The 9959-nt window shown below is 35.8% G+C and overlaps 1 protein-coding gene across 50 annotated transcripts in view; it reads left to right on the top strand.

Moving 5' to 3' along the window:
• RBM26 (RNA binding motif protein 26) overlaps positions 1-9959 on the top strand; it is a 94429-nt gene that overhangs the window by 1363 nt on the left and 83107 nt on the right. The window contains exon 1 of one of the 50 annotated variants that reach the window (XM_011535195.2): positions 127-1864. The exons of the other annotated variants lie outside the window; for them this stretch is intronic. The gene's annotated coding sequence lies outside the window, so the exon portion shown is untranslated. Of the gene's footprint in view, positions 1-126; positions 1865-9959 lie in introns of those variants that run through there. 50 annotated transcript variants of the gene reach the window in all.

The following is a 9959-nucleotide window of genomic DNA, read 5'->3' as shown; positions in this document are numbered from 1 at the left end:
CTACGGGAGGCTTTGGGGATAGAGCTTTTAAATTCTAAAATCGACAAGACATAAATAAATCCAGATATTAATAGAGTTGTGACTATTGTAATAATAGAGAATCATGTAAAAGTGATTATGAGGGGGGCTATTTCACATTGGTCAAGGAAGGACTCTCAGAGAAGGTGACATTGGAGTAACATCTAAAGAGAAGGGACCATGTGTGTCAAAGTCTTGGAAAAGAACATTCCTTGCAAAAGGAAGAGCAAATGAAAGGCCCTGTAGCAGAAGTGATTGTGGTGTGTTTCAGGAAGAGAAAGGCCACTGTGGCTGGAAAGAGCCTTGTGATGAGGGAGAGGATATAAAGGCAACAAGTTGGACAAGTAGGTAGGGGCCACATCATGTATGGGAAGACGTGAGATGATTTAAAGCAGACAAGGACTGATTTAATTTTGTTTTAACTCTGCCTATTTTGTAGAGACTGAAAGGGCAAGAATGGAAGTAAGAAGATTATTCAGAAGTGTGTTGTAGGCAGAGATGTGGCTAGTTTGCATTAGAGTGATGGTGGAGACAGGCAGATCCAAATACATTTCATAAGTAAAATTAATGGATTAAATGCGGGAGATGAGGGAAAGGGAAATCAAGGGTGGTGCCTTAGATAACCCAAGCAACAGAATGGGTGATATTAGAGAAGGCAGAGAACAGGTTAAGGGGAGAAGGAAAGTGGATGGCTAGTTTTGATAATAATAAATACAGTAAGTATGAAGTCTGTGGGATACAGCTAAGTGTGATAGCAGATCATTGAATATATGAGTCTAAAACTCAGGACAGGACTGGAGAAATCTGGAGTCATGCAGATAGTATTTAAGACGATGACATTGTGGGAAATTTCATAGAAAAAGTGTGTAGGTAGGGAAGAGAAGAGGGCCTAGTACTGAGGCAGGAGGAAAACTGGGCTTTATGTCATTAAAAAACAAGTGTATGGCAAAAGAGAGGAGTTTATGAAATGCTGCAGAATGCATGAAAAAATGGAGGCAAATAGGTAGCCCTTAGATTTAGCAAAGTGGAAGTCATTGGTAACCTTAGCAAAATAGTTTCACTGGAGTAGAGTTGTGCAGATGGAAGTCCTATTTCGGTGTATTGGAGAGTGGGCATCATAGTATAGCGGTGAGGAGAACTCTGGAGCAGAATGTCTGGCTTTGAATTCTGCCTCTGCCACTTACCAGCTGTATGATATTGGGTAAGTTACTTAACTCAGGGCTTCCATTTCCTCAACTGTAAAATTGGGAAAATAATGGGTGTATATTAAGGAAATCTTAGACTACTGTCTGGTGTGTAATTAGCATTCAGTAGTTATTAGGTGAATACAAAACTTATAAATGTTTTGGATTGAAATAGCTTTCCTTTAAGCGTTCAGTTTCATATTAGATTTACTGCCGTATCCCTCCATCTTACCTAAATGAGAAGACTGTAGCTACTTAGAGTGTATGCTTGTAATTTTTCTTTAGTCTTAATGAAACATATTCCATGTATCATAAAGCCTACTCTCGATGGCTGTAGCACTGCAGTCATTATGTTGTAATAAATAAGGCTCTGCTAGTAGAGCCTAGACACTGGGAATTGTAATTGGTCCTTTTCTAATGTGTGTAGCTGTGGTAAAATTGAGCCCTTATTCAAGTTCTTGTCCTTTTAATTGCATTTCAGGTGGATTCTTTTGTATGATGACTTATAAAAGCTGATCCCAATTATGGATCAGTGGTTTCTAACGTTGGTTTTGTGAAATGTTATGATCTGTTATCTAAAAGGAATTTTTTTTTTTTTTTGCTTTAACATTGTAATTACCAAACGACCTCTGTTTGAGAGAGGAACATACAGAGGACCAAGGGTAAGCTGTAACTTGAAACTTACATAAAACTTTTTAGTTACCTGTGGTGGTTAAATACTTCATGGTTTTGGACTTACTCCACATTTTGAATGTGTTAATTCAGCAAACATTTATTTTAAGAGTACTTAACCTACTCTGTGCTAAGCAGTGTGCAAGATATAGTAGGTAACAAGACATGAAATGACTCACTTCATTTTATTTACCATTTAGCAGGAAAGATAGGTGTTGAAGTCTGGGAACATCAGGAAACACTTCCCTGGTGTAATGTTTATCTCAGCTTGGAAGGATGAAGAATACTTTGCTGGGGCAAAAGGATGGGATTGGAGACCTGTGAAAGCGTTATAGGTTTGGTGAACAGATTGTATGGAGGTCCTAAAAATGGACAAAAAAGATATGTTGGAGGAATTGAAAGAAATAGAAAAAAGCAAAGGAGAAGAATGGCAGTGGAAAGCTCCAGAGATAGGAGCCAGATCACACAGGACTTTGTTGAGTCATGTTTAAGACTTTGGATGTTATTGAAGGATAGTGGGAAGCCAGTGAAGGGTTTTAGGGCAAGAGGGTTTTCAGATGGATGTTTAAAAAAAAAAAAAAAAGCCTGGCTGTGTTTTCAGCGTGAAATAGAAGTCTGCATATCTGTATTTACTGTTTCATAACTTCTGTACATGTATCAGGGTTCTGAGTTTCATAAATTATTGAAAATAATTTTCAATGTCTTTTTCATAAATTGAGAATTTTGAACTTTATTAAAATTGTCATCTTGAAATGCTTAAGATTGATGTTTTGTTATCTCAAAGATTTGCTTAGTCATACTTGCCAATAATATGAAACTAAATGTTAGTCTTTTTTCTAACATTTCGTTTTGATGATGAGAAGTCCTGAAAAAAAAATTAAGCTCCTTTGTTGTAGTAAACTTTTAAACAAACAAAAAAAACAGAAAACACTTTCTACTGTATTTAAAACTTTTAGGTGGACTTACACATCAAAGTCATGTTTTTTTTTTTTTCCTGAAGAGACACCTAAACATCTAATGAAACTTTAATTTTTTAGAAAATAAAATTGAGGGGCAGGTGGATGTAATGACGTACTGAGGTTTTGTGAGTTGAGTAGTAAAGAACAAAATGCCTAGTGTTGTGCTTCTGCCACTGTGTAGTGCTGTGGAGGAAGTGTGTGGTGGAAGGAAGATCTCTGTGTCCAGATCAGTATTCAAATCTCACTTCTGCCATTTATTAGCTGTCTAGGCAAAGAAACCTCCTCTTTCCTTATTGGTATAATAGGAAGAATTACAGTATTTCCATCTATAGTTGAAAGGGTTGAATGGGACACATGTTTGTGAGCCTTGCCCTTCCCCTCCTTTCTTAGATATTGGTTGATTAAACACAGATAGGCTACATTACTACTGTTGCTACTGTTAGAATTATCACCAACACTCCTGCTGTGACTACCACCTAAACTGTATGCATTGTTGTTAAACATTTTGTATTATTGTACTTACAAGTTTTATGAGGTAAGCATTGTTATCTCTCCATTTTGCAGGTGATGATACTGAGGCACTGAAGCATGAAGTTATTTGCCCACAGTGATTTAAACTAAGGCTTTTTGACTCTAGAGCTGTGTGCATATTCTTAATTTACTACTACAGAATGCAGCATCCTAGTGTTTTCTGTTACTGCATATACTTTTTTACTATGACATTTTGATAGTATTGGCTACTATTGTAAAAGAACAAAGTTCTAAAGCATCGTGATTATCAGTGCTTTAGAGTTTAAGAAATAAACATCTTTGTGGTTTTTGTAGTATTTTTCCCCTTCACCTGTACTTGTTACTACACCTTTCTCACCACATTAAAATTTATTTTTGTTCGTGTCTGATAGGAAGAGTTATTCTTTTGGGTTGGCTAAATGATCTTTTTACTCCTGAACTTTTGAGTATTTTTGATTCCTTTGACCTTTCCTTTTCAGTTGGCTTCTTTTGGCATAGTAAGTCCATTTCCCATTCTTTAGGAAAAACTCAGCAATAATAGCAAAAAACAAAACAAAAGATAAAACGCTTCTAGTCACTTTCTTGCTAGCTTTCTGTTCCTGTCGCTGGTAAATCTTGAAGTAGTAGTCAGACTTTTAATTTTTTGTTAATTTGCCCTCAGCCATTTACTTCTTAATGTCTTGGAATAGAATTTCTTCGTTGTAATATAATTACAACCAAAATTACTTACCTCAGTGTTACCAATCAATTTATATTTATTGCCTGAAGTTTTATATTTTTTGCCCTATGCGTGTATAACATCAGTGTTGATGCCACCTTTTTAACTTACTTGCCTTGAATCCCTAATGTGTTGGTTCCTTTTCTTAAGTCAGTCTTACCCTCTTTTGTTCCTTTTCTTCAGATTCTAATTGTATTTTTCAGTGTTGTTACATTGACATTTTTTTCTTCATCCATTTTTTACTTCTGACATTTCATTAATTACTGCTAAGATTTGAATGTTTGTCTTCTCCAGAATTCATGTTGAAATTTAATTTCGTTAAGTATTAAGAGGTGATTAGGTCACGAGGGCTCTGCCTTTGTTGATTGGATTAATGCCTTTATAAAAGGTTAGGTTTTGCCTCTGCCCCTCTGACTTCTGCTATGGGAGACCTCTGACTTCTGCCATGGGAGGAACTCCGGAGGATGCAGTGTTCAAGGTCTATCTTGGAATCAGAATTGCCAAACCTGCCAGTACCTTGATATGAGACTTCCCAGCCTCCAGAACTGTGAGCCAATAAATTTCTTTATAAATTACCCATCTTGTGGTATTCTGTTATAGCAGCACAAACGGACTAAGACCTTTCCCATGAATGGTTTTCTTTGTAATACATGCCAGTGGTTCTTAAAAACTTTTTTTGGAGTGTATATTGTAGATCCTTTAAAGTCTGATTAAAGACTGTCTCCCTAGGATTTACAAATACATACACATTTGCATTGAATTTCAGAGCTTTTCACTCTGAGCTTGTTAATGGATTCCAAACTAGAACCTCTACTCTGCATTTATTTTCACATAAGTATGTTTAGACTTAACCACTCTTCACAGTCTTAAGCTTTTATCTCTAATTGCTGGCTGTATATCTGCTTGGATCGCTCATCTAAACTTCAAACTAATTTCTGAAAAGAAGTGTTTTCTGGATTCACTTATTTTAATTTCATTTCTCCAAATTATGCTGGCTTGAAATTTTTTGGCTTCTCCTTCCTCCCATTCACTTAGTCATGAGGTTCTCTCTTAATAATCCTTACTGACATTGCTTAGTAGGGGGCTCACACTCCGTATCTAAATGATTGCAGTTTGCTTCCTAACAAATCTGTTTTTATCTCTAGGCCTTTCTCCCTTCCAGTTCTTCTGACATGGATGCCCAGCCTTGTTTGTATCCCATTGCTTGATCAAAACCTTCAGCATTCCCAGATAATAAATTGCATACTTTTTAGCTTGCCTTTAAGAAAGCTAATGATTTGCTTTAAATTATCTTTTCCATTTATATCTTTCTACTTTTTATATGAGTCTTAATTTCAGCAAAGCTGAACTTTCGTGATTCACTGTCATTTTTTTTTATTGTTTCTTTTTTCTGAAACTTTACTGTTTCTTTTTTCTGAAGATTAGTAGTGGGCACCATTTATTGAGTGCTTACTATTAATATATGTTAATTGTTATACATTCATTGTGTGCAAGATAGGTGTTAGGAAGATGAATTAGCATACTTTATTCATAGCTAGTAAGTGATGGAGACAGGATCCAAAAGAAGACATTTTGATTCCAGAGCCTTGTTGTATTATGGTGTACTGTCTTTATATCCTTTCTTTGTGTTGAAGTCAAAGATCAAGTGTGATTCCAGTTCTTCCAGAAAGCTGCCTATGATCTATCCAGCTGGGTGAAGTGACTCCTCCCACCATGACTCCTCTCTCTCAGCACTGGTTTCAGTTGTCATGACACTCATCACTTGTACATTAAATTATTTAGTCGTGTTATTTTAGCTTTATTATTAGAGTCTCAGGCCCTTGAAAGCAGACTCCAGCTCTTAAGATTTAACTATGTTCCTGTTCATTATATACATTATCTAGCACAATGCTTTGTGTGTAGTATATACCTGATTATTAAATGCGTTAGTTGAAATTTCAAGTTTGTGTACCTAAAACCAAGGGAAGAGGCAATAATTTGGGTAAAACTATAGAATCTACCCAACTTCAGAACAGCAGATATGTGAGCTATTTGAAGATTAAGTAGTCTTTGGGTCTACTTCTTTCCATTTTTACTCCTAGCATCTTCAGTTTAGGTAAAGCTTAAGTTCAGATTTTTTTTTTCTTTGAGAGGGAAAGGTCATTGAAGTATATTAATATTTACTTGTTAAAGTATTATTGAATGTTGCTATGTGCAAGATTGCTGTCTCCATAGAGCTGCACATAAAAGAATTATAGTAATTCTAACCTGATGAATTTTATAGCTGGTAGAAGAGTTAATAGTCTATAATTATTGGTTAAAACATTTTTCTTTATTTCTTTATCCCCTTAACTTGTGATAAATTGACTTTCATAATCACATTTTGCTGCTGCAATCTTATTTGGCCTTTCCATCTGAATGCTGAGTGGTTAAAATGCATTTAGCACTTTTTTTCTGTATGTTTTAGCACTTCCTTATCTTTGGCTGACAGTGCTTCTCAAAATTATTTTACATGCTTAAACTGAGAGATAGGGACTGTATTATGAGCAAAATGTAAAATATTCCCATGTTAGTTATGTACATAACCTAAGCTTGAGAATGACTAACTGAAGCTTGAGCTAAATAGCTTGTAAGATTTTTTTCCCTCTTCTTGCTTCCTTTGTGCCAGAGAAAAGAATGAATGAGAGAAATGAATGAATGGTAAGCTGTTCCTACTAGACTTACTCATTACTCTCCTACTACTTTATTTCTGTGGAAAAAGTCTTTTCAATTTACATGCAGTAACTTTGAAATAGGTAAAAGTTTATTTTTAACTTAGGGTTTTATTAGTATCTTTTATGTGTGTATTAAATAATGGAGTAAGTTCAAGATCTGTTACTTAGTGATTCTTCTTGAGATATTTTACCTATGTAGAAGCATTTCTTTTGTTATTTTTTTCTGCGACATGTTTTACAAATGCTTTTAAAATTTTGATTTTCTGATTTTTATTGTTAGTATATAGAAATATATTTGTATATTGACGTTGAATTCTGAAATTTTACCAAGTGTACTTATTCTAGTAGCTATTTTATAGATTCTGTGGAATTTTCTTCTACCAATCTCATCATCTATGAGTAATGACAATTTTCTGATTTTTATACCTTCATTTCTTTTTTTTTTTTTTTTTTTTTTTGAGATGGAGTCTGGTTTGTTGCCCAGGCTGGATTGCAGTGGCGTGATCTCAGCTCACTGCAGCCTCCACCTCCCGGGTTCACGCGATTCTCCTGCCTCAGTCTTCCGAGTAACTGAGACTACAGGCACGTGCCACCACACCCGGCTAACTTTTTTTTTTCATTTTTAGTAGAGACGACAGGGTTTCATCGTGTTAGCCAGGATGGTCTCGATCTCCTGACCTCATGATCCGCCTGCCTCAACCTCCCAATATACCTTCATTTCTTATCATGCTGGCTAGAAGCAATAGTACAATGTTGAAGTAGTAAGAGTGGACGTCCATGTCTTGTTTCCAGTCTAAAGGGAAAGAGATTAAATGTTTCAGTATTACTGATATTGGCTCTAGGTTTTTAGTAACTGCCTTTTACCAGATTGAGAATTTTTTTCTTAATTTGCTTAATATTTTTGTCATAAAAGGTTATTGTTAACTTGGCTAACTTCTTATTTCTTTTTCTTTTTTTTGAGACAGAGTCTTATTCTCTCACCCAGGCTGGAGTGCAGTGGTGCAATCTCGACTCACTGCAACCTCCACCTCCCAGGTTCAAACGATTCTCAGGCCTCAGCCTCCTGAGTAGGTGGGACTACAGGCGTGCGCCACCACCCTTGGCTAATTTTTCGTATTTTTAGTAGAGGTGGGGTTTCACCATGTTGGCCAGGCTGGTCCTGAACTCCTGACCTCAGGTGATCTGCCTGCCTCAGCCTCCCAGTGCTAGGATTACTGGCATGAGCCATTGTGCCTGGCCAGTTCTTTTTCTCCATCTGTTGAGACGATCATACAGATTTTCCCGTTTTTTTGTTAATATGGTGTATTACATGGATTGCTTTTCAAATATTAAGCCAATCTTGTATTCCTGAGGTAAACCAGGCTTGGTCATGTTATATTATGGTAGATTTGATAATATTAAAACAAGTGGAAGTATTCTATCCTCCGTTTTTCTGAAAAAATTTATTTAGGGTTCTATTTTTTTTTCCTTAAAATTTTTGGGATCCTTCACCAGTGAAGCCATCTGGGACTGAAATTTTTGTTGTGAGGATTTTTTGGTTATAAAATCAATGTCTTTAATAGGTATAGGGCTGTGTAGGTATTTCTGTTTCTTCTTGTGTCACTCTTGACAATTTATGATATTCAAAGATTTTTCTGAAGTTGCCAAATTTATTGACATTGCATTGTAACCTTACTATTCGTTTAATAACTAGGATTTATTGTGATGCTTCCTTTCCCCTTTTTAATTATACCTTTGGTTGCTCTTTTATTTTCTTAATCAATTTTGCTATTAGTTTTTCAGTTTTATTCAGCTTATTAAAGAACAATGTTAACTTTTTTTTCTATTTTCTATTTCAGTGTTTTATTTTTATGATTCCCTTTTAAAACACTTTGGGTTTAATTTGCTGTCCTTTTCCTCTTAAAGTGGAACCTAGGTCGTTGGTTTTACACCTTTCTTTCAGTTATTTTATGATATTGTTCCATTGCCACCGTCCTCTGTTGTTTCTGGTGAGAAATCTGCTGTCATTTGAGTCTTTGTTCTCCTGAATGTAATGTGTCTGTTTTCCCCCTTTGACTACCTTTAAGATTCAATTCCTTTTATTTGGTCAGCAGTTTGACGATGATAGGCTTGTCTGTCTGTGTTTATGTGTTTTATCCTTAGATTTGCCAATTTGGATCTGTGTTTTGGGTCTTTCATCGGTTTTGGAAAGTTCATTGGTCACTATGTCTTCAAAATTTTTCTGCCCCATTTTTTTTTCCTCTTTTTCTGAGACTTTATATTTAGTTCCTTGTATGTTAGATTATATGATATTATCCTGAAAATCTCATGTATGTTTTAAAAAATTACTTTTGTCCCTTTGCTTTTGATTTGGATACTTTTTATTTTCCATTTTTTTGTTTGTTTGTTTGTTTAGAAACAGTGCCTCACTCTGTTGCCCAAGCTGGAGTGCAGTGGCATGATTATAGCTCATTGCGGACTGGACCTCCTGGGCTCAAGGGATTCTTTTGCCTCAGTAGCTGGAATGGCAGTCACACACCACCACACCCAGCTAATTTTTTAATTTAATTTTTATTTTTTTTTGTAGAGATGGGGTCTCACTATATTAACTAGACTTGTCTTGAACTTCTGGTGTCAAGTAATCCTCCCAATTCAGCTTCCCAAAGTGCTGGGATTATAGATATGAACCTCTTCCTGTTTTCAAGTTCACTATTGTTTTTCCTCTACCGTTTCCAGACTGCGAAGGAGAGTTATTTCTGATTCAGATTTTTTATTTCTGGATTTTCCCATTTGGCTCTTTTTAATAGTTTCTGTGTATTCACTGAAGTTCCCCACCTCTCCATGCATGTTGTCCACATTTTCCAGTAAATTCTTTAGCATTTTTATCATTATTGTGAAGTCCCCGTCTAATCTATTATCTGGACAGTCTCTGAGTATGTTTCCATTGACTGTTTCGTCTCATGTAGATCACATTTTCTTACTATTTTGTGTTCCCTTTAGTTGGTTTTATGCTAGATCTTTTGTGTAAAAGGACTGTAGAGACTGAAGTAAATAAGATTTATTTTCAGTAAGGGGGCATGCCTTTTTTTTGTTAGGCCACTTGAGTGGAGGCTGAGTCAGTTGCCCTGTAGTCTGATTGGTTCTGGGCTTTGTAACAACTTTCGTTTGATTCAGTTCACCATTGGCTTCAAATGCTTTGAGGGCAGAATGAGAATTTTCCCTTTGG

This window comes from Homo sapiens, chromosome 13, assembly GCF_000001405.40.
Source record: "Homo sapiens chromosome 13, GRCh38.p14 Primary Assembly".
Classification (NCBI taxonomy): domain Eukaryota; kingdom Metazoa; phylum Chordata; class Mammalia; order Primates; family Hominidae; genus Homo; species Homo sapiens.
Note: the sequence above shows the minus strand (reverse complement) of the source record. Positions and strands in the feature narration are given on the sequence as shown.